At 39.5% G+C, this 23,730-nt stretch overlaps 2 protein-coding genes across 8 annotated transcripts in view, besides 5 other annotated features; one reads left to right on the top strand and one right to left on the bottom strand.

The window, feature by feature from the left end:
• Positions 8,497-8,616: a silencer, noted in NCBI's record as "fragment chr3:150252356-150252475 (GRCh37/hg19 assembly coordinates)". NCBI's record gives its function as "represses an EF-1alpha promoter that drives an FKBP-Casp9 reporter gene in an ReSE screen in K562 erythroleukemia cells {active_cell/tissue: K562}" and the evidence as "EXISTENCE:reporter gene assay evidence [ECO:0000049][PMID:32094911]".
• SERP1 (stress associated endoplasmic reticulum protein 1) lies at positions 15,926-20,424 on the bottom strand. The gene is made up of 3 exons (NM_014445.4): positions 19,980-20,424; positions 19,631-19,706; positions 15,926-18,426 (listed from the first exon to the last, which is right to left on the bottom strand). The coding sequence occupies exons 1-3, from the start codon at positions 20,061-20,063 to the stop codon at positions 18,386-18,388; spliced, it is 201 nt and encodes a 66-aa protein (NP_055260.1). The 5' UTR covers positions 20,064-20,424; the 3' UTR covers positions 15,926-18,385.
• Positions 19,935-20,565: an enhancer, noted in NCBI's record as "NANOG-H3K27ac-H3K4me1 hESC enhancer chr3:150263794-150264424 (GRCh37/hg19 assembly coordinates)". NCBI's record gives its function as "activates a minimal SCP1, AML or CMV promoter by ChIP-STARR-seq in naive H9 embryonic stem cells {active_cell/tissue: H9 hESC(naive)}" and the evidence as "EXISTENCE:reporter gene assay evidence [ECO:0000049][PMID:30033119]".
• Positions 19,935-21,210: a biological region, named in NCBI's record as "CDK7 strongly-dependent group 2 enhancer GRCh37_chr3:150263870-150265069".
• Positions 20,011-21,210: an enhancer, noted in NCBI's record as "CDK7 strongly-dependent group 2 enhancer chr3:150263870-150265069 (GRCh37/hg19 assembly coordinates)". NCBI's record gives its function as "activates an origin of replication core promoter dependent on BRD2, BRD4, P300/CBP, MED14 and CDK7 cofactors, with strong dependence on CDK7, by STARR-seq in HCT116 cells {active_cell/tissue: HCT116}" and the evidence as "EXISTENCE:reporter gene assay evidence [ECO:0000049][PMID:35650434]".
• Positions 20,483-21,022: an enhancer, noted in NCBI's record as "active region_20687". NCBI's record gives its function as "activates an Ori minimal core promoter by ATAC-STARR-seq in GM12878 lymphoblastoid cells {active_cell/tissue: GM12878}" and the evidence as "EXISTENCE:reporter gene assay evidence [ECO:0000049][PMID:35858748]".
• EIF2A (eukaryotic translation initiation factor 2A) overlaps positions 20,715-23,730 on the top strand; it is a 39,230-nt gene continuing 36,214 nt past the window's right edge. For all 7 annotated transcript variants that reach the window (NM_032025.5, XM_011513224.3, NM_001319046.2 and 4 more), the window contains exon 1: positions 20,715-20,758. In NM_032025.5, the coding sequence (NP_114414.2) occupies positions 20,731-20,758 (28 nt within the window). In that variant the 5' untranslated portion in view covers positions 20,715-20,730. The remainder of the gene's footprint in view (positions 20,759-23,730) is intronic.

A 23,730-nucleotide genomic window follows, 5' to 3' on the forward strand; every position in this document is an offset into this window, starting at 1 on the left:
AAACTTCAAAACACCAAAGTCAAAGATAAAGTCTTTTAATACATTTTAAAGATGCTGAGAAAAAATATATATTACAAAGAAGGACAATAAACTGGCTAGGCACAGTGGCTCACACCTGTAATCCCAGCACTTTGGGAGGCTGAGATGGGCAGATCACTTGAGGTCACAAGTTCAAGACCAGCCTGGCCAACATGGTGAAACCCCATCTCTTCTAAAAACACAAAAATGAGCAGGGTGTGGTGGCACACACTTGTAGTCCCAGCTACTCAGGAGGCTAAGGTGGGAGGATCACTGAGTCCAGGGGGGTTGAGGCTGCAGTGAGCTGTGATTGTGCCACTACACTCCAGCCTTGGAAACAGAGCAAGACTCTGTCTCAAAAAAAAAAAAAAAAAAAAAAAAAAAAGGACAATAAAACTGATAACTGACTTTGTAACAGCAATAATAGAGACGCCAGGAAATAATCTGATCAGCGACCATGGTGACTTGAGACCAGCCTGGGCAACAGGATGAAATCCCATCTCTACAAAAAATACAAAAATTAGCCGAATGTGGTGGCATGCACCTGTAGTCCCAGCTATTAGGAAGGCTGAGGTGGGAGGATCACTGAGTCCAGGGAGGTTGAGGCTGCAGTGAGCCACAATCACGCCACCGCACTCCAGCCTGGGCGGCAGAGTGAGACCCTGTCTATAGATAAATAAATAGAATAACATCTCATGGCTGAGGGAAAATTATTGTCAACCTAGAAGTGAATACCCAACTCATTCAAGAGAGAAGGCAAATTAAAACATTTTCATGCGAAGAGATGAAAGAACTTGTCATTGATAGTTGCTGAAAGAACACTAAGGAATGTACTTCAGGAAAAAGAAAATGGAATCCAGAAAGAATGAGATGCAAGAAGGAATGATAAGCAACTTAAAAACAAAAAAAGCACATGCTTATAAAAAACAATAATAATAGCTAATTTGGGCAAAAATACTAGATGACATTAATGTAAAATATGGAAGAGATAATTGAAATCAAAGTATTTTACAGTCTTTGTTCAAGAAGAAAGTAGAAATAAAGATTCATTTTAGACTTCATCAAATATACCTGATTATGTTTAAAAGGTGTTTTTGAGAGAATAGAGATAGAGCGTGTAACTATGAAAAACACAGAGGGGAGAATATCATAAGGAAATCTCAAATGGACGCTCTCCCAAATGCGCCAGCGTTCTCCCATACGCAGTATCAGGCCTCCTGTAACTGCTGTGCCCACACACCACAGAGGGAGATAGAGACCCAGCCCTCCACCCAGCTCTGCCCAAGAACAAAGGTAAAAATAGGTATGGTGGTAAGAACAAGAATGAATCTGAAATGAGAATGAATCTGAGAAGGAGAATGGACCAGTAAGCTCAGATAATCTACATGTTGGCAAATGGACAGTTAGAAACAACATTGTTTTGTTTGTTTGTTTGTTTGTTTGTTTGAGATGGAGTTTCACTCTTGTCACCCAGGCTGGAGTGCAATGGCACAATCTCAGCTCACTGCAACCTCCACCTCCCAGGTTCAAGCGAGTCTCCTGTCTCGGCCAGGCTGGTCTCGAGCTCCTGACCTCAGGTGGTCTGCCTGCCTCTGCCTCCCAGAGTGCTGGGATTACAGGCATGAGCCACCGCACCCGACCGAAACAACATGTTTTGTTGGTCAAAAGAAATTGAAAGAAAAAGTTTGGATAAAGACTTCGGACATTATATGGCTGGGCTTGCAAGACTACTAGACAACAAAGTTACATAATTTTACATTACATTACAAATAAAGCTGGACATCTAAAGGTCCAAGTTGAGCTTCCAGGTCAAACCACTGTCAAAAGCAGGTTACGTCTGTTCCAGGAGAGCATGCCTAAATCCAGTCAATGACACTGGAAATGATGAAGACACCGGGGATATTTAAACTGAACTCAACATTTTACATTCCAGTTTTTCAGAGAATTGCTGCACAATTTGGATGATAGCCACAATCCAGGAAGAAGACTAGATCATCAGAATGAGTGAAGTTTGTTAAAGCAGACTGATTTTTGATGTTTGTTTTAAAATTGTATGTTTCTTTCACAACTTATGATACTGATTTACCTTAAGACAAATGTTAAACCTACTTGTTCTTTTGTCGTAAGGAATTTATTTGGATGAAAGACAATAACATCTGTTGTTTAGAGAAAAAAGGAGAAAATGCGTTGCTAGTTTTCCTGCTGTGACCACTTCCACCTCCAGTAAATGGATGTTTTGAATAATTCTATGCCCTATAATTATCATGGACTATGTATAAACCCCCAGTTTTAACTAGTTTGTGTACTGATTAAGGTCCTAGGGGAGGCAGAAATCTGCATTTCATATCATAATGCATGGGTCTGGTTTCATATTTTAGTAGCTTGTGGCTATTTTTCTTTTTTACAAATGTTGACATTATACACATTCTTCTCGTAACCTTATGTTACAGAGCAAGACTGTGTCTCAAGAAAAAACAACAATCTTACGTTGTCACCACAAAAAAAAAATCAACAAAAAGGCATTTCTAAATACAGCTGTAGGAAGTTGGGTTTGAATTTGTAAGATTAGTAGTTGTGGAAATTGAACACTGGGGGGCACCCAATCATTATAAAAATACTAACATTTATTCACTTTTTAAAATATAATGTGATTGAAAAATTTCACAAAGAAGAGGTTTTTGTAATCCTTTGCTAAATATGGAGTTTAAAACTTTTTATTTGGAAATAATTTCAAAGTTATAAAATGTTGCAAAAAAATTTTTTAAACTACCAAAAACAGCCATATTTACCCTTTACCAGATTTACCTATTCAACATTTTATACCATTCACTTCATTATTTTCTCTCTCTTTCTCTCTGGATATAATTATTTTCCTGAACTATTTGCGGGTAAGTTATATACCTCATGGGTCTTTACCCCTAAATATTTTGGCGTGTATTTCCCAATAATGGGGTTATTCAAAAGAGTCTATCTTTTGATAGTAAGCATTACATATATTATTTTTACAGTACAAAAGATTATGATAAAAATGTCGTTTTCCCCCCAAAAGCTACATGGTAAGCTACAGTTTTCTGTACTTTATGTAAGTATAAATTATGATTTCTAAATGAAAAAACAATTTCATATTAATTTCTACAAATTAAGCCTTTCTCAAATTATCCCTAAAGTGGGAGAGAGGAAAGAAATACAACTTAATCACCACCAGTTTCTGAAATAGAAGAGCCACAGGTAAACACTACAGTAAATAAAATGTTGCCGGGCATGGTGGCTCACACCTGTAATCCCAGCACTTCAGGAGGCTGAGGTGGGTGGATCACTTGAGGTCATGAGTTCGAGACCAGCCTGGCCAACATGGCGAAACCCTGTCTCTACAAAAATACAAAAATTAGCCTGGCATGGTGGCGCATGCCTGTAATCCCAGCTACTTGAGAGGCTGAGGCACAAGAATTGCTTGAACCCAGGAGGCAGAGGTTTCTGTGAGCCGAGATTGTGCCACTGCACTCCAGCCTGGGCGACAGAGCAAGACTCTGTCTCAAAAGAAAAAAAGAAAGAAAGAAAAAAGAATATGCCATGCTGGAAATCCCAAATCCCAATCAATCCAACAGAAAGAAGTTAAAAGTAAGCAAAATAATAAAAACTAAAACGTACAGTAATCAGAAAGGCAATAAATATGAGAGTAAAAATAAATCCAAAACATTACTAATTTTAATATATGCAGATGAATTAAACAGTATTTTCAAACTACATAAAAACATAATTATAATCCACATGTTTATACTAGATACTTAAAACGCAAGGACATAGAGAGATTGAACATAAACGAGCAGAAAAAAATACTTTTGGATGCAAACTGCATCCAAAAGAAAGGTGAATACATATATTTATTACACATATTATTTGAATATATAAATATATATTTGAATATGTATTGTTCAGTATGTTTGAATGTATACAGTTGCCCTAGGTATCCATAGATTGGTTCCAGGACCCTGGCAAATACAAAAATCTGTGGATGCTCAAGTCCCTTATATAAAATGGCACAATATTTGAATATAACCTGATATATATTCAATATATATATATTGAATATATAATAAAGTATATGGCATTCTCCCATATACTTTAAATCATCTTTAGATAACTTACAACATCTAACACAATGCCTACATATCATTTCATTCATGTAAATTCAACACAGTACTAGGCATGGCAAGTTCAAGTTTTGCCTTTTGAAACTTTATGGAATTTTGTTCTGAATATTTTCAATCTTTGGAGGGTTGAATTCACAGATGCACACAGATATGGAGGGCCAACTATGTATTTGAGTATATACATATCTGTGTGTGTGCATATATCTATATATATATATATATACTAAAGATTATATGTAACCGTAATATCAAATATAATAGACTGTAAGTGAAAAAGCACTATTAGAGATTCGGATGGATGTTACATAATGAAAAAGAAACAATCTATCAGACAGATATCTCTAAATTTGAATATACTTAACAGAGCCTCAAAATATTTAAAGAAAAATATACAGAAATATTGGAAGAAATTTACAAGTCCATAAACCTCTATCAAAAAGTAAAAAACTGATAAGAATCTAGATGTAAACAACATAATTAACAACTTGAACAAAGAAACAAACACAGAACTGGCACCAAAAACTAGAGAATACACTTTTTAAATTATTATTATTATTATTATTATTATTATTATTTTGAGATGGAGTCTTGCTCTGTCGCCAGGCTGGAGTGCAGTGGTGCGATCTCAGCTCACTACAACCTCTGCCTCCTGGATTCAAGCGATTCTCCTGCCTCAGCCTCCCGAGTAGCTGGGATTACAGGCACGCACCACCACGCCCACCTAATTTTTGTATTTTTGGTAGAGACGGGGTTTCATCATTTTGGCCAGTATGGTCTCGATCTCCTGATCTCGTGATCCACCCATCTCGGCCTCCCAAAGTGCTGGGATGACAGGCATGAGCCACCACTCCCGGCCTATTATTTTTAATCATATATAGTACATTATAAAAAGTAACCACATAGGGATACCGTCACTCTGATACATTGCTGAAGGGAATATAGAACAGAATAACCTCAATGGAAGGGAATTTGATAATACTGAACTGCATTTATCCTTTGGCTCAGAAATCTTACTTCCAAGAATTTATCCTAAAAACACACTTGCACAAATATGAAAAGATATAATACATAAGGTAATTTATTTCAGTTCTATTTGTAATGGCAAGAGACTGTAAAACTAATGTCTATGAATAGTGACTGGTTGAATAAATCATGGCACATCCTGATCATGGAGCTATAAAAAGAAGTGAGGAATATCTCTATACACTTACATGGGCTGATGCCTAGGATATATATTTTTTGCTTTTGGTTTCCAGGATATATTTTAAGTGGAGAAAGCAAGATAAAGAAAAGGGTATCTGTGCAATCCTACCATTTATCTAAGAAAGTGAATATTTATATATCCATATCTCTATTATCCATCTCTTAATAAAAGCGTAAAAGAAAGCCTTTTTTAAAAAGGTTATCTAAAACCCAAGAATTGTTCCCCTAGGTACATACCCAAGAGAAAAAAGAAATCACATATGTCCAACACAAAAACTTGTACATGAATGTTCATGGCAACATTATTCATAATAGCCCCCAAATGGAAACAATCCACATGTCCATCAACTGATGAATGGGGAAACATATCAAAAAGAATGAAGTACTGATTCATGCTCTAAAATGAATGAGCCTTGAAAACATTATGTTAAGTAAAAGAAGTCAATCACAAAAGGTCACATACTGTATTATTCCATTTATATGAAAAGTCCAGAGTAGGCAAATCTAGAGAGAAAGTAGATTCTGTGGTTGCTAGAGGTTAGGGGAAGGGGGAGGAGCAATGAACATCAATAGGTATGGGGAAGGGAGTGATAGATACAAAGTTTATTTCTGGGGAAATGAAGTATTCTGAAATTTGGTAGTAATGATGTTGCATAGCTTTGTAAAATATACTAAAAACCACTGAAATGTACACTTTAAAAGGGTGAATGTTATGCCATATTAATCTCACAAAATATTGTAACCTTATCAATAGGAAGAGACAAGAAAGTAGAAAGAACAAGAATAGGAACTGAAGGCAGGCACAGTGGTTCACACCTGTAATCCCAGCAATTTGGGAGGCTGAGGTGGACAGTTCGCTTGAGCCCAGGAGTTGGAGACCAACCTGGCAACATGGTGAAACCCCATCTCAGCACACACAAAAAAATTACAAAAAATTAGCCCGGCATGGTGGCACACATCTATAATCCCAGCTACCCAAGAGGCTGAGGTGGGAGGATCACATGAGCCCAAGAGGTAGAAGCTGCCTGTAGTGAGCTGTGATCATGCCACTGCACTCCACCCAGGGCAACAGAGTAAGACCCTGTCTCAAAGAAAGAAAACAAGAAATAAGAACTAGATTTCTCTGAATATACCTAGTTTAATAGATTTGATATTAAAACCAAGAAAATATAATATATAGTTACTAAACTGAATTAAAAATATAAAAGCAACCACTAAGATTCTCTTTCTGGCATGGCAACCTGAGGACCTCCATGGACCCACTCCACAATGAAACTGGTGAAAATCATTAAAAAACAAAATTTAAATTCTCTAGAAATGGTCTTAAGGCCATACAGCAAATGAAGAAACATTTATTCGAGAAAACCTACTAAAACTGGCCGGGCATTGTGACTCATGCCTGTAATCCCAGCACTTTGGAAGGCCGAGGCAGGCAGATCACCTGAGAAGTCAGGAGTTCAAGACCAGCTTGGCCAACATGGGGGAACCCCATCTCTACTAAAAAATACAAAAATTAGCTGGGCGAGGTGGTGCATTCCTATAGTCCCAGCTACTCGGGAGGCTGAGGCAGGAGAATCACTTGAACCCAGGAGGAGGAGGTTGCAGTGAACCAAGATGATGCCACTTGCACTCCAGCCTGGGTGACTGAGTGAGACTCCATCTCAAAAAGAAAAGAAAAGAAAAGAAAAGAAAACCTACTAAAACTAGTTAGGAATGGTAAGAGTCTATGGCATTTGAGTCATGACCAATTTCCTTCCCCTTCCATATTCAGAGTGATGGGAACCCTACTCCAGGTAGACACAGCCAAGAACACAGGGCTCCCTCTGCCCTCACCTCCCATCTAGAGGGCTGCAGTATCTTCCCATCAGGGCAGCATGTCTCCATTTCTCCTCCTTTCCCAGCTACCTGTTGCAAAGGCTAAGTTCTGGGTGGTGTAGCCGAAAGGTGGGAGCCCCCTTCTTCTACCCAGCCCCCACTCGTGGGATACAGAATCTACTGAGAATACTGGGTCCAATCCCCATCACTCCAGCCCATTCATATAGCAAAGGTTCCATGCCAGCACAGGCAAGTCAAGAATACCAAGGGCTATAGAGCAGAAATTGAAGAAATTGAGTACAGAAAAACAATAGAGAGAATTAATAAACCTGAAAGTTGGTTCTTTTAAAAGAGCAACAAAGTTGACAAACCTTTAGCTAGATTAACCGAGAAAAAGAGAGAAGGCTCAAATGAAAGAGGAAATGTTACCATTAATGTTACAAAATAATAATGATTATAAAGGAATATTGTGAACAACTGTATGCCAAGCAGATAACAGACAAAATGAACAAATTTCTAAAAAGACACAAACTACTAACACTGAATCAAGAAGAAACAAAAAATCTGAACAGACCTCTAACAAGTAAAGAAATTGAATTTGTGGGTGGGCACAGTGGCTCACACCTGTAACTCCAGCACTTTGGGAGTCTGAGGTGGGAGGATCACTTGAGCCCAAGAGTTTGAGACCAGTGTGGGCAATATAGCGAGGCCCCATCTCTACAAAACAAAAAGTAAATAATTAGCTGGGCGTGGTGACATACACTTGTAGTCCCAGGTACTTGGGAGGCTGAGATAGGAGGATTGCTTGAGCCCAGGAGGTCAAGGCTGCAGTGAGTCATGATCGTGCCACTGCACTCCAGCCTAGGTTACAGAGGAAGACCCTGTCTAAAGGTGGGGAAAAAAAGAAATTGAATTTGTAACAAAACAACTATCCACAAAGAAAAGCCTAGGCCCAGATGGCTTTATTGGTGAATTCTACAAAACATACAAAGAATTCATGCCAATTCTTCACAAGCTTTTCCAGGAAACCGAAGAGAACAACTCCCGACTTATTCTACGAAGCCAGTATTACCCTGATAACAAAACCTACACAACAAGAAATGAAAACTACACCAAGATCTCTTACGAACATAAATGTAAAAATTCTACAGAGATACTAGCAAACCAAAATCTCTACCTGAAAAAGGGCATCTTCAAAAAACTCACAACTAACATCATACTTCATGGTAAACAACTGAATGTTTTCTTGTTCTTGTTAAGATCCAGAAGAAAACAAAGATGTCTACTGTTGCTGCTTTTTTTTTTTTTTTTTTTTTTTTGCCCAGGCTGGAGTGCAGTGGCAAGATCTCCGGTCACTGCAACCTCTGCCTCCCAGGTACAATCAATTCTCCTCTCAGCCTCCCAAGTAGCTGGGATTACAGGTGTGCACCACCATGCCCGGCTAATTTTTGTATGTTTTGTAGAGACGGGGTTTCACCATGTTGGCCAGGCTGGTCTTGAGCTCCGGACCTCAGGTGATCCACCTACCTTGACTTCCCAAAGTGCTGGGATTACCGGCGTGAGCTACCGCACCCAGCCCACTGTTGCCACGTCTATTCAATATTGTACTGGAGGCTAATTCTGACCAGGGTAATTAGACAAGTAAATGAAAGAAAAGGCATTCAGACTGGAAAGGAAAGAAGTAAAACTATCTCTATTTGCAGATCAATCTTGTGTGTGGAAAATCCTAATTCACTAAACAACTATTAGCACTAGTAAATGAGCTCTACAAGGTTGCAGGGTACAAGATCAATATACAAAAACAACTGAATGTCTATACAGTAGCAGTGAGCAAAAAGAAAATAAAATTAAGGAAAAAATTCCACTTACAATGGAATCAAAAAGAATAATGTACTTAGAAATAAATTTAACAAGAACAAAACTTATATTCTGAAAACTACAAAACATTGTTGAAAGACAGGAAGGAAGGCTGGGCAAAGGGGCTGTTTGTAATCCCAGCACTTTGGGAGGCCGAGGTGGGAAGATCACTTGAGCCCAGGAGTTTGAGACCAGCCTGGTCAACATAGTGACACCCTGTCTCTACAACGAAGTACAAACAATTAGCCAGCCATGGTGACGAGTACCTGTAGTCCTAGCTATTCAGGAGGCTTACGCAGGAGGACCACTTGAGCCCAGCAGTTTGAGGCTTCAGTGAGCTACTCCACTAAACATGCCTGGGTGACAAAGCAAGACTCTGTCTCTTTAAAAAAGCTTTTTTTTAAAGGGATACAAACATAAAATTAAAGACATAAATGAAAACCTATTTCACCATACCTCATACATTTGAAGATGTATGTACCTCATGCCCAGACATTCCAAATTCCAGACTAGAGAAATTCTGTATACAGTTAAACAAGGAGAAAATATATTAATATAAACACCCATATTCATTACAACCCACATTGCAAACAAGTGGGAACAAGTGGAAACAACTTCAGTATCCCTCATAAGGAAGTTAGATAAACAAATGTGGCTTATCTATAAAAAGTATACTCTATAAAGCAATTCAAATGAATGAAACAGATCCACTGAAGAAACCTCAAAATGATGTTGAGTGTAAAGTTTCATACGACAATGTACAGTTTGATACCACCTCTTTAAATCTTAAAAGTGTACAAGGGTATGTTTTATTTATAAATGTATACATGTATTCTAAAAGTATCAGAAAAATATGTAAATAGCCTACATTGACTTTAGGGGGCAAATAAGGGGTATTTTCATCCTACCTGTAACATTTTGTTTATATTTTTAAAAAGAGATTTGAAGCAAATATGGCAAAATTTTAACAACTGTGGCATATTGATAATGACATGTAGACATCTCATGTTATTTCATGTATATTTGAACTTTTTATAATTAAAATATTTAAAAATCTAGCATACTGAATTTTTATCTGATATCTGATATGAGGCACAATTTGCTCATTACTAAAAAACAAACAAACAAAAAAGAGGGCCAGGTGCAGTGGCTCATGCCTGTAATCCCAGCACTTTGGGACACCGAGGCAGGAGGATCACTTGAGGCCAGGAGTTTTAGGCTGCAGTGAGCAATGATCGCACCACCGTACTCCAGCCTGGGTGACAGAAAGAGACACTCTAAAAAAAACCCCAAAAAACAAAAACAAACAAACAAACAAACAAAAAGACTGAAGGCTACATTGAAGTGTGGTAACTTTGAGGGAATCCAGAAACAGAAAAGGGTCATTAGTGGAATATTGGTGAAATCCAAATACAGTCCTAAGTTAGTTAAACTATTATTGCTGTACTGTTAATTTCTTGGTTTTGAAAAATATACCATGGATATAATAAGATGTTAATATTAGGGGAATTGGAGTAAAGGATATACAGGAACTTTCTATGCTATCTTTGCAACCTTTCTGTAAATCTAAGTTTATTTGAAAATGAGGAAGGTATAAAATCAAATTCCATTTTGTTTACTTATTTTGAGACAGAATCTCACTTTGTGACCCAGGCTGGAGTGCAGTAGTGTGATCTCAGCTCACTGCAGCCTTGACCTCCCAAGCGATCTTTCCACTTCAGCCTCCCAGGTAGCTGGCACTACAAGCATGAGCCACCACATTTGGCTAAGTTTTTTATTTTTTATAGAGATGGGGTCTCACTACATTGCCCAGACTGGTCTCAAACTCCTGGGCTTGAGCAATCCTCTCACCTTGGCTCCCAAAGTGCTGGGATTAAAGACATAAGCCACCACATCCAGGCCAAATTCCATATATTTTCTCTAAACATTTTTCTGTTTTCTTTTAATGGGAATTCAACTTTTCAAGGACAAGTTTTAAGAGCCTATATATTTGCCGAGTGCCTTTTTCATGTCCAGGATGGCATTACCTGTAGGTACAATCACCGCACTTCCCACTGATGGCAATTTTGATGTAAGGTAACAAAAGGGGTGTCATAGGAGCATCTAAAGCAGGGCTAACTAGTGTGGAAGAGTAATCTTTGAGACCAATATGCTCTCAACCTGCTACATGCAAAACATTTTTTAGCGGAAGCTACATAGCAGAATATGATGCATAGTCCTATACAGTTTGAGAAGCCATTTGGAAGGCCAAACTTTGGAAAGGTAAAAGTATAATTTGAGATCTACAAATAACTAGTGATCCTAGAATGGTAGGTGACTTTCAGCCAAGCCAAATATCAATATGAAGGCTATGATTTCTTTCTGTTTTTAGTCAGGAAGGTCCTTCACCCTATCAAAGCTCTATTGGTTTTGCAGCTCACAAAGTCAGTGGTATCTTATTTGCATAGAATATTTCTAATTTTTCAAAGTGATTTTACCATCATTAGACTTCACTGTATGAGGCAGGTGGGTGTTTCGTCTTCCTCAAGTGAAATGAATGAAGCTCAAGGAGGTTTTGGGATGCAAGACTATGGAACTAGTTAGTGCCAGAGCTGGAACCAGAACTCAGGGCCCTTTTCAATACTTCTCAAAGTTTTGTTTGCAGATAGATCACCTGAGGATCCTGTGAAAATGCAGATTCTGATTCAGTGGGCCTTTGGTGGGGTGTCTGAGACACTGCATTTCTATCAAGCTTCCAGGTTATTGCTGGTCCTCAACCTACACTCTGAGTAGCAGATTAGATCAGGCTGAGTTTTTGTTTTTGTTTGAGTTTTGTTGTTGTTGTTGTTTTGTTTTTGACAGGTTCTGGCTCCATTGCCCAGGCTGGAGTGAAGTGGTGTGATCTCAGCTCATTGCAATCTCTGCCTCCGGGGCTCAAGCAATCCTCCCATCTCAGCCTCCCGAGTAGCTGGGACCACAGGCACACACTACCAAGCCCAGCTAATTTTTGTATTTTTTGTGGAGACAGGGTTTCATCATATTGCCCAGGCTGGTCTCGAACTCCTGAGCTCAAGCAACCCACCTGCCTTGGCCTCCCCAAGTGCTGGGAGTATATAGGATTGAGCCACCGCGCCTGAACAAAACCAGGCTGAGTATTAAACTCTGCTGGGTCAGCTTTCCCTGTGTGTATTTGGCAACACAGATGAATTTTAGTGGGATGTTTACAAAAAGAAAAGAATCTGGCCTTGAAAAACATCTTTATACTATTCTCAAGAAAGAACAAATGACTTTCCGGATGACGTTCATTGTCTGTGGTACCTTTCTTCTCCACTTAATCCACGAGTAATTAACAGGCAGATTGTGCACCAGTAACTAGGGCTGGAGCTAGGCAGAAACATGCTTGGATACTCCCACTGTAAAATCACCTTTATGATTTAGGCTTTATCTGCAATTACAATCTATCTCAATCCCGAATGTATTTGTGCTTTAGGATCTGCAGTTGTGCGTTTATTGGTGCTCACATGTCAAACAGAAAACAAAGTTGCAGCGTCTTGGTGGTTTACCCTGGTCTCATGGCACTTCTGGGTGCCAGAAGCTAAATGTGCTGAGTAGGGTGCTCTGTGTGGCTCCATGGATGACACTTTCCCAAAAGGGTGCTGGAGTCTCCTTTGCCCAATGTGAGACTTGGTTTGGCAGCCACACCACATCCTAAATGATAGTCAAAATGGTGTGGACTTGCAGTGGGGAATTCCTCTGTGAGAACAAGCTACCTCTACTCAGGGACTGGATTTGGTTTGGAGTATACTCGCCTGGTTTGCATGGGTCTGGCACAGAGAAGGGTGCACTGGTGTGGTGTCCTTGTACCGTCCTATACCCTAGGATGGGGCTGAGACAGAGGGCAGCTGACAGCCCACAAGCACCTGCTCTAACAGCAAGTATGGCTGTTTGACTCTTTCCTTATAACCGGACTGACCAGTGTGGTAAAGTGTCAGCTTTCTTTGATAAAGTGCTTTTTTGTTTTCTCAATGCCACATTATGAACCGTTCTCAAATACAACTGAAAGACAAATATCACACTGTTGAAGTACTTCCAAATATCAAGCCTATCCTGGAGGAGTTTGTTTAAAGGGTAAAGAAACTGAATTCTGGTGCTGAGCCCAGTCATCAACCAGAGGTCACCAAGCTTGGAAGTAGTTGGGACGACTGTTATACCAGGGTTAGGGGATTTTACAAAAAGACCTGCTTCTTAAAGATTATTCTGATATAAGGCATTCATCGATCTTTTTCACTTTATCACTCAACTAATATGTTGAACTCCCACTATATGTGTAAAGCTCTGTACTAGCCAAGGGAGTGATGACGGTAGATGAAGAAATAAAGAAAAGATATGGCCTTTGTCCTTAAGGATTCCATGTCTGAGAAACTAAGAAACAAAAATAATAAACATGTGAATGTAATAAAGCTAACTGGTCCAGAGCTGTAAGTCCCAAAGAGAGTCTTCCTGAATCCCACATCAAGAGAAAGCTTTACAGGAGAGGTGAAATTAAAGCTGGAAAGGGTAGGTAGTATTGTAACGCAGGAAAAGTGGGCAAAACAACCTTAAGTTCAAGGTATCTGAAAAATCAGGGCTAGAACAGTTCTATGGAGGGAAGCTGTGGGGGACAAGGCTGATAGGTAGGTTGTGAAGCCTCCTGAAAACCAAGGCAAAAAGAATTATTTCTTCCCAATGGCGGTGGAAAGCCATTTGAGGTTAATAAATGTTCAGATTTTACCACCATGGAGAACTCATTGAGTTTCGTTAGATTAATACATAATCTTCAAAGGTAAAAGGAAAACATTACATTCTTAATATAAAAGTTTTAAATTGCTAAAAAAAATAGAGGAGACATGCTTAAAGCATCATAATTCCTTGACATTCAACATACTAAGTGCCAATTTCATCATTACAAAACCAGTTTTCTAATCCTTGCTCTGCCATTGCTTTATTGGTGTTAGGAAGGACAGTATCTCTAGGCCATATGTCCTCAAATGTAAAATAAAAGGCCCAATCAAGATCATTTCTAAAGCTCCTAAATCAATTATTTCAGTTCAAAGTAAACTATTCTCATTCTCCGTTTGGCAGGCTTTCTCCATAACACACTGTTAGAAAATAAAAATTTGTTGTTAGTCCATGTAATGATACTGTAATGTTTTAATAATTTAAATACACAGATGTATTCTATCTGCACTGCAAAGTAGAAATCTGCACACTGGAAAATCTTCATTAAACCCTTTGTTATAAAAAGTATCTCTGGGGAGCACATTGCTTCATTTTTCGGACTACTGGACTGCCTATTAAAAATTTTTATTTTGGCCAGGCATGGTGCCTCTTGCCTGTCATCTCAGCACGTTGGGAGGCTGAGACAGGAGGATCACTTGAGCCTAGGAGTTTAAGAGTAGCCTGGGCAACATAGCAAGACCCCACCTCTATTTTTTAAAAAATTAAAAACAAAATAAAATTATTTATTTTACACTTTTCAACAACACAGATTAAAAATTTTTTAATTTTTTTTTTTTTGAGATGGAGTTTCTACTCTTGTTGCCCAGGCTGGAGAGCAATGCTGCAATCCTGGCACACTGCAACCTCCGCCTCCCAGGTTCAAGATATTCTCCTGCCTCAGCCTCCCAAGTAGCTGGGATCACAGGCATGCGCCAGCACACCCGGCTAATATTGTATTTTTAGTAGAGACTGGGTTTCACCATGTTGGCCAAGCTGGTCTCGAACTCCTGATTTGAGGTGATCCACCCGCCTCGGCCTCCCAAAGTGCTGGGATTACAAGTGTGAGGCACCGCGCCTGGCCCAGATGAAAAATTATTAAAAACTCTAGCAAAATAATTTTTAAAAATGTAACCTTAAATGTATCACAGTGGTAACATTACTAGCCCTTGCATTTTTGTGCTGTACAGGGAGCACCACTAGTAAATTTGTCACTAGTTTTTTTTAAATGCACCCATAAAAGGACAGATTCCTTTTTCCTTCGAATTGGCAATTAAAAAAAAATTAAAGAATTTCTGTAAAAGCAGAAGCAAAGAGCTCGTGAAAACAGAAGTGTTCTAAGTGTAAGTTTTGCAATCATTCCTATTACCATAAAGTACAAGAAACTTTGGTTCGTTTCTGCTCTCCCCCAATTAGCTCTGTGATTGAAAAAAACAAAAAACAACAAAAAAAATTTATCTGGCTTTACTTGTCCTTTGACATACTTATTACAATTGTAGTTATGCTTTCATTTTGTCTGTTCCTTCTCTACTGGTCTGAGATATTTCAGTGTCAGGACTATGTATTCACAGTTCCATACCTGGCATATAAGTTGTTCACTGACTAAAATGCATGTTTTTGTTAATCTGCGAATTGAAGCAGTTGGATTAAATTTTCCATGTCCCTTCTTTGTTTCTGTGATATATATTTACTTTGAATTACCTAAGCCTAGGCAGTTAATTTTTCCCTTAATTTCTAGCCTTTTATTGCTCATTAATCCTCTTTCTAAATAAGGACATGTGTCCTAATTCAATTTGAAAATAAAGTAGTACAAGTAGCTACTGTGGTACTAAGTAAGTTTAGACAGGAAATGCTTCTCTGAGGGAGTGCCATAGAGTTTGCTGTTGAAGCCAATCAACTCCTACCTCTTGAAGTTACGGTTTGCATCTAAAAAATAAATTTAAAAACTACAAAGGCAAGTAAAGGCAAATCAAACTTAAGAACAATTTCTAAATGGAGAATCTGATGCTCTAAGTTTCACAAATGAAGCATAATAAAGTTTTGCTGGTGAACCTACTAAGCCCAGGAACATAATCCAGCTCTCCATGGTTGTCCTTTGTACCAACAGAACTCCAGTAACCTCAGTGAGAAGAGTCATGGCCCTGCAGTTGACTATCCACATTTCTTTAATGTAAGTCAAAGCCCATCACAATGCATCCTGTTACAATGGAAATCTTATTTTTGGAAGTCCACTTAATTATTTTGAGCAACATTATATACAACCCAACAGATACAATTAATTGACAACTTGTTGAAATGTTAGAGTTAAACCACAAAGAGTAACTGAGTAATGTTGACAACCCCAATATTTATTCTCATACTGTGCTCAACATTAGATGATCTATAAAATTCAACTGGCAAAGGGAGATCAAAGAATTGTGCTTCATCTTGAGCTTGAATTGGATGACAAGGAGATTAGGAAATCCTAAGTGGAAAAATATTCAAATCATTGTGCTTTCTATATATTTTTCTTACCACCTATTTCCAGTTATAAACCTTACATCTGTGCCTCTGCATACCATTTAAGTACAATACTAAACATTCTTTAAAATCATTTTCTACTAACTATAAAAGGTACACTCAGATAACTGTAAAATCATTTCCGTTTAGAAGAAAAGCATCAAATATTCAGGGAACTTTATTTTTAAAGAATAAATCAAGTAAGACACAGCTTTCGTTTACCTAAACATGCATAATCCAACCTGAATATAAACTGCACTTAATTGGTGAATTACACATGAAATACAAAGGGAATGCAATTTTACATATGTAAAATGATTGCTAGCTATAGCAATTTAACAGTCAAATTTATCAGAACATTGTACATTAAAAAACACAAACAACAACTTAAAGCCAAATATCTATAGTAAACCAAGGAAAATTCTGATATGGAATGGTTTGACTAAAAGCAAAGAATAAGGCACCTGCTATGAATTTAGCACAACCATAAAACAGAATTAGTTAACCAAGACACTTGTTTCAAAAAGGGAAACAAGTACAGAGACTGATTAACTGGGTGAGAAAGGCAAGTAACAATTTAGTTAAAAACCTGCTGGCCCAAGGTCAGTTGATTCATTCCTTATTCCAGAATAGTTAAGTTCCTGAAAGTCCTTAACCACTCTGCTCCCTTACTGTTCTCCATGTTTGAGGGTATCAGAAGCCCCCTGTGAGGTTCACGCTGTGTATAGACTAGGTAGCAGATTTCCCTTCTGTTCCTCTTAAAACAGCTTATTTTAAAAGAAATATCCTGAGGCAATTAACAAAGCAAACACAAGCAGCTTTCTTTCCAACGCATTAATACATAGACACTGCTCAGGTTTTTTTTCACCAAGTTATGGCTAAGTATACAAATAGCCAATACTTGCAGTTTTCAACAGTACTAGAAAACCCAAAACCTGCCCTATGACCCTCACCCTTACCATTAGTAAAACGTAAATTTGATCAATCATAACCTATAAAGTCATATAACAAAGGGAAGACTAAAGACTGATCATTATCAGTAAATCCATTCAATTCCAGATGCCACTTTAGGCTGATGTGTCTAGTACCCTAATGATTGAAAAATCATTAATCTAGAAAAAGCATTTGCAAACTAAGGATAACTTCGCAGTTGATGTGCCTTTTTTTGCTATTAAAAGTGCTATTTAACATGCTAAAATGTCTTATGGCACATTGGACTCAACAGCATGTTCTGATGAGGCATCCATTTTTAGCAGTATTTTTCCCTAGAATTTTGTTTGGCATAGTAAACCCCTTTGATATATTAAAATAGTTCTGGTGAAATAAATGTAACATAAACAAACCTTCCCTGACTGACTTCACTCCACCACGGTAGCTTTTAGTGAAACCACAGTAACTGATTAAGTCAGAAAACGATCAAGTTTTTTTTTTATGGCATCTTGGGTTACTATACTCACTCATGCAAAATCCAAGGTAGTGTAATGGAAACAATATTGGTAAAATAGATGTTGTGGCTATAAGCATCTCCCTTTATATTAGACATTTAGAAGCTTTTAAAACTTTTTAGATGCTAAAGGTTGTGGCAAAACTAGGCTGTGTAGTTGTTCCATTTATAAGCACCTTATTACAGGACAGTTACATGAACCTATAAGGGAGTGTGCTTTCAGTTCAAAAGAGTAATAAAGTGCCTAGCTATATAAAAACCACAAGACTTCAAATTGTAATTTAAGCTAACTGCAGTTATACATTTGGGTTAACAAAATCTAGACCCTGTCTATGCAGAGTTAGACTAATTGTTCATACTGTTTTAATAACCACATAAAAAAACTTACTCTTAATTGACTGAATAAGTAGGGTCCACTACTGTATCTTAACAATCAAATTTTATTGCTTTATTCATGTGGTGTTTTTTGCAAGGCACTGTGGTATGGACTAGAAAACTTGGAATGACTCATGAAGAAACCTTGGAATGACACATGAAGCATGATAGGAAAGTCATTCTGAGGCAGGATGCTTTACTGAATTGTTTTCAACCAGGGTATCAAACATCAGGAATGAGTTCAAGTTAAAATTCACAGGAGAATGGAAACATCTTAAGGTCAGTCACTTCACATGCCCATCCTGATACTTTGAATAATCTGGAAAATTGCTGTAAAAAGAAAGAGCAAATATTAAAATAAGCTTTGAATAAAATAGGTCTGGTGTCTAACAAATATTTATTAAGGTAGCTGAAGAATCCAAAGGTACTCTTACATTTGCAAATGGTACATAACTTCAGTATAATAAGAAGTGAAGACAGGCCTGTCTGAATAAATAAAACAATGAAATATCCCTGAGTTATTTTTTTATCTTAGCTTCGCTGAACTTTATGTCTAAGTATCCAAGAGAACTTGCAGATAAGTAATCATTTTACAAAGAACTTAAAGCACCAAAGCCAACAGGTTTTTCCAGCATAGAATTATTTTGGTTTATAAGCATCCTTTTAAGGCCTGGCCTGTAACACATGCATGTTTCCTCATTCTCACAAAGCTGAAATTCAATCATCTTCAGGTTATATAAACTGCTTGGCTCTCATCCATTTATCAGGAAAGCTTCCAATTGGTAAGTGAAGAAGAAAGGCAAAGTGAAACGTTAAACAGAAATCTCAGTAATTTTAGAATGTGGAAAACAAACATCTACTTCAATATTAACAGCTTGCATATTAAAATGATAAATGAAGAGAGGAAAGACCTTTTTTTTGTAATCTATTTGCAAAGGCAAGTGTCTGTTACTCTTAGGGGACAGCAGGCTACCCCGACACTTTTTTTTTAAACCATGTATCAAACGTTTCTTTTATTAACCTAAAAACATTTGACTCACACATTAAAATGCCAATCAGGTAATTTCCTCTATAGTGAATCAATTCTTTGCACAAGCTTTATTTTATAAAATATACTCAATTTTGACATTAAGACATTAGATTCTGGTATATGTTAAATCAAGTTCTAACATCTATAGTACATATTTATAATTTTCTTTGCAAAGACTGATAATGGAGTTACAAAACATTCTAAATTCTCATTTCGTTAGGTTTTGTCCGGTCTTAACATTTATTCCAACTGGATCATTACCAAGACCTGACCTCCTTTTTGATCTCCTGTGAGTACAAATTAAGCTGGGAGAAGTTTCTGGAGCACCACCCTCTGTGCATATGTGGAACAAGTAATTTGGTTCAGACGAAACAGAATTATGTGGAGTCCTCGGCAGGTGGGTTGAGAACTACGCAGGTAGGACTCACTACTGACCGGTCACCACGTCATCCCAAATCCTTTCAACCCAAGACTCTACCTGATGGGAGCCCCCAAGCCACTTACCAGAACCACAGACAACAAAAATGAAGAGAGCCAATAACCAGGGTCCTACAGACGCCTTCTCTTCGGGGGCATTTCTCTGCAAAAGCGAAAATCCACCATTTCAGATGCAGAGAAACCACTCGGACCCCAGGCTCCCACGCCTGCACGCCGGTCGCCGGCCCCCTCACCTCACAGGTCTCCCCTTCCGTTCCCGAGCCCCCACAGTCTGGCGGTTCGCAGACTCGGGCCCCTACCCCTCCACGGCACCAGCCCACGGTCGGCCGGATCCGGGAGAAAACGCGACGCGGCCCCAGGGACCCGGACTCAGCTCCGGCTGCGGAACGCAGAGGGGCGCCCGCTCTTTCCTTACCGAGGTCTTGGCGACGTTGCCGCGCTGGGTGATGTTCTTGCTGTGCTTCTCGTTGGCCATACGGATCCTTTGCTTGGCGACCATCTTCGCGGCGCCACCACCTGCCCCGGCCACCCCTCGGACTCGCTCACTCGCCTGCCTCCTCTGGAGCCGCTGCGAGGCTCGGCTCGTGGTGCCCGCGCCGCCGGAGCGCCGAGGTTCTCAGGCCAGACGCTAGCTACGGCCGCTGGGCCTGGGCGCCGCAAGCGCGAGGTCTGAGCACAAGCCGGGCGCCGGCCGCCGACTGACTGACCGAGCGGGGCAGGTGCGCAGGAGGAAGAGAACTGGCCGCCGGGTCGTTCTCGCGCCGCCGTCGCCGCCGCTTTGGCCGCCGCCGTGAGCGCGGAGTGAAAGAGGAAGGAAACGCAACGCAACAACGGGAATGTGCAGCCCGCCGCCTCGATCTACTTTGGGTTCGGCTGCCAACGTCAGCACTAGACGGACTCCGCCCCGCGGAAGTGCGCGCCCCTCCCGCTGGAGAAGGAGGGCGAAAGCAGGCGCACCCTCCCAAGCTCTGTCAAGCGTCGCCCTAGATTTGCGCGTGCGCGTTTGGGCGCCTTTTCCGCGTCACTCCGTAACCGGAAGTGAATTGGCCCCGAGGCTGATGGCTCCGGAAACACCAATTCGCTGTCTCCACGCATGAGGAGACGTGTAGGGGCCGGGTTCGGCCCTGGTGAACTCTCACCCGAGCGGTTTCTCTTTCCGGGACAACATGGCGCCGTCCACGCCGCTCTTGACAGGTGAGTTCTGAAGAAGCGAGGGACTCTCTTTCTTCAGACTAGTTTCTTATTTTTGTCTTTGCCTTTGAGAACTACCCGAGGAGCCGGGGAGTCTGATCTGCCTTTTCTTGTGGCTTGCGGAAAGGCCAGACTGTTGGCTTTCTTGATATAGCGTGGCAATCGGAAGTGAAGTCTCCGCCTCTGGGCTTTCGTATTCCCCCTCCCTTTCACCCATCCATCATTCTTGCCTGCGGATTCATCTTCTACAGAAATAGAAGAAGGGGGAGAAAAACAATGTGCTAGTTGAATTTGTGACACATGGGTCTGCAATACTGGTGTTACACGGGCCCTTGTGAAGTCATTTAGGTCTACAATAAGAACAAAGACAAACATGAGTTAGTCCTCTAGAATGATCACGCACTTTAAATACACCTGGACTTAAGTAATTCCAGATTCTGGCCTTCCTGCCTTAATGAGGTTTGTAGGACTGAATAGGGAGAGTGGAGCTGTAATGCAGGTTTCAAATGATGAAGGTGTGGTTGGGAGAGGGTGTAGCAGTGAGCATGATAGAGATATTCTAGCAACATTTGATTTTGAAATGGTTATGAGCATATTAGAAATAGAACATTAGAGGACTCTTGAAATTTTGAAGCTAAAGACTGTAGTGTTGGAGGAGATAATAAACTTAGATTGGAAAATGCTGGGGAAGTTGCTTTACTAGGGTGTGGCTAAGAGTCTGCATATGAGTATTACGTAAGGAAAAGAGAGTCGGGAAGGAAAAGAAGGTTTTGGTTAAGTTCTGATAACTATATAGAAGGAAAAAGTCATTAAGAGAAAGGTTGTCTGCATTTAAGGAGGGAGGCTATTCCCTCCCTTCCCCCCCGCGAAAGGAACCTTAAAACATTTTTGCACTTTTTGCCAGTCTACATTTCTATTTTTACATTTTAAAATCTTTGTTATTAAGCGCCATGCCCACTGATGCTCAGTCTGTCTTCTGCAGTTTAGTCATCATTTATCAAACGCCGAGTATAATCTTCTAGATAATATACCAGGCAAAGACTGTTTAAAAGGCAAAGTTACATAATAAATTTTTTTTTAGGTTTGTAAAGGTAGCTTGTTATTCACAATTTTTAATACTAAATGCTTATTTGAACTCTAATGAAAAAATTACATTCTAAAATCTGATAAATAACCCCTCCTTTAAAAATGCCTACAGTAGGTAGTTCCTCTCTGCTTACAGGGTAGATTCCATCCTATGTAGCATAGTTATGTAACCATTTATAATCTTTGAATTGCTCTTGAGACTCATTTATTTCCTTGCCATCCCATCTTATTTGGTGCTCCATCAATACTGAACTGCTTCTGAGTCCCTTTGAACAACCTGTTTCTTCAGTCTAGTACTATCCTATGCCTCTTGTTGATTTGGCAAACTCTTTTTCATCTGTTGAAATTAAAATTCATTTTAGATATCATTGCTCTGTGAAGCCTTTCGTCACTCTACCCAGATAGAGTCAGTCACTTCCTGGGCTATTTTTGTACCTGAAATATATTTGAAATTTTATTTCACTTACTAAGTAGGATAATTAGACATTCACTTGCCTTTCTCCCCTGCTAGACTGTGAGTCCTTCAATGTCAGCGACAGGGTCTTATTCATATCTGTCTTCTCAGTACTAGTGCAGTGCCTGGTAGACAATAGATACTCTAAATCAGGGGTCCCCAACCCCCTGGGCCGGACTGGTACTGGGCAAGCATTACCACTTGAGCTTCCCCTCCTGTCAGATCAGTGGGGGCATTAGAGCCTCATAAGAGCGCAAACCCTATTTTGAACTGTGCATACAAGAGATCTAGATTAGATTTGTCTGTTTAGACTATCCTTTTAAATTAATGAAGGATAGCCACTTTATAGTAAATTAACCAAGGATGACAATTGTCTTACAGTGCTTAAAATCAGGGACTTTGTAAGAGCTTAAATGTTGTCTGTTCAGTCTACTCTTCATATTCTCATATTCTTAGAGGCCCAGAGAGATTAAGTGGTCCGATTCACACTGCAAATTGGCAGGATTAGGATTATACTTATTCAGATTGTTCAACTCTGTGGTCCATTTTTCTTTCACTAGAACAAACTGTTTAATCTTTTAAACATTCTCAGTGTACATATTTCATTCAACAATAGATTATTTTACTTCCAAAATCTTTTGTTAAATTTAGACTCGTGGGATTTTAGAGCTGTGAATAATTTGCAGATTAGCCAGTAAATTTTGTTAACCCCAACTCTTAATTGGGAGTGACAAGCCAAAGCAGGTGAAAAAGGGATTTTTTTTTTTAAACTCGTATAACCTAAAAGCCTCAGTACTGCTAGATCCAGATACTCACATGGCTTCAGAAATCTGTTTTTCTTTCTTTCTTTCTTTCTTTTTTTTTTTTTTTGAGATAGTTTCGCTCTTGTTGCCCAGGCTGGAGTGCAATGGCGCGATCTTGGCTCGCTGCAACCTCCACCTCCCAAGTGCAAGCAATTCTTCTGCCTCAGCCTCCTGAGTAGCTGGGATTACAGGCGTGCACCACCACGCCCAGCTAATTTTGTATTTTTAGTAGAGTTGGGGTTTCACCAAGTTGGTCAGGTTGGTCTTGAACGCCTGTCCTCGGGTGAGCCACACGCCTCTGCCTCCCAAAGTGCTGGGATTACAGGTGTGAGCCACCATGCCTGGCCAGAAATCTGTTTTTCTTCATCTGTAGGTTCTTGCTTTCCTCCAGATTAAATTCATCTTTAAACTGACATTCAACCAAATGCCCAGCTCCAAAGGAAAGAACACATTTTTGCCAGTAGTCTCAGCAAAAATCTCAAGGCTAGCTGCCTTTGACTTTGCTTGGCTCACCTTTGTATCAGTCAACTTTTAATCATGTAGTCAGGACTAAATTATCTTCCCACTCCTCGATACTCCTCAAAAGAAAATGAGCGCCTCCTAAAGAAGAGGAGCTGGTTGCTAGGCACATA

The sequence above is a fragment of the Homo sapiens genome, chromosome 3, assembly GCF_000001405.40.
Source record: "Homo sapiens chromosome 3, GRCh38.p14 Primary Assembly".
In the NCBI taxonomy this organism is placed as follows: domain Eukaryota; kingdom Metazoa; phylum Chordata; class Mammalia; order Primates; family Hominidae; genus Homo; species Homo sapiens.

Coding starts and splice junctions, on each gene's coding strand:
- SERP1 (NM_014445.4), bottom strand. CDS start 20,063: ATGGTCGCCAAGCAAAGGATCCGTATGGCCAACGAGAAGCACAGCAAG. Junction 19,707..19,979: donor GCAACGTCGCCAAGACCTCG/GTAAGGAAAGAG, acceptor TCGCTTTTGCAG/AGAAATGCCCCCGAAGAGAA. Junction 18,427..19,630: donor TTTTGTTGTCTGTGGTTCTG/GTAAGTGGCTTG, acceptor TTCTTTTTACAG/CAATTTTCCAGATTATTCAA.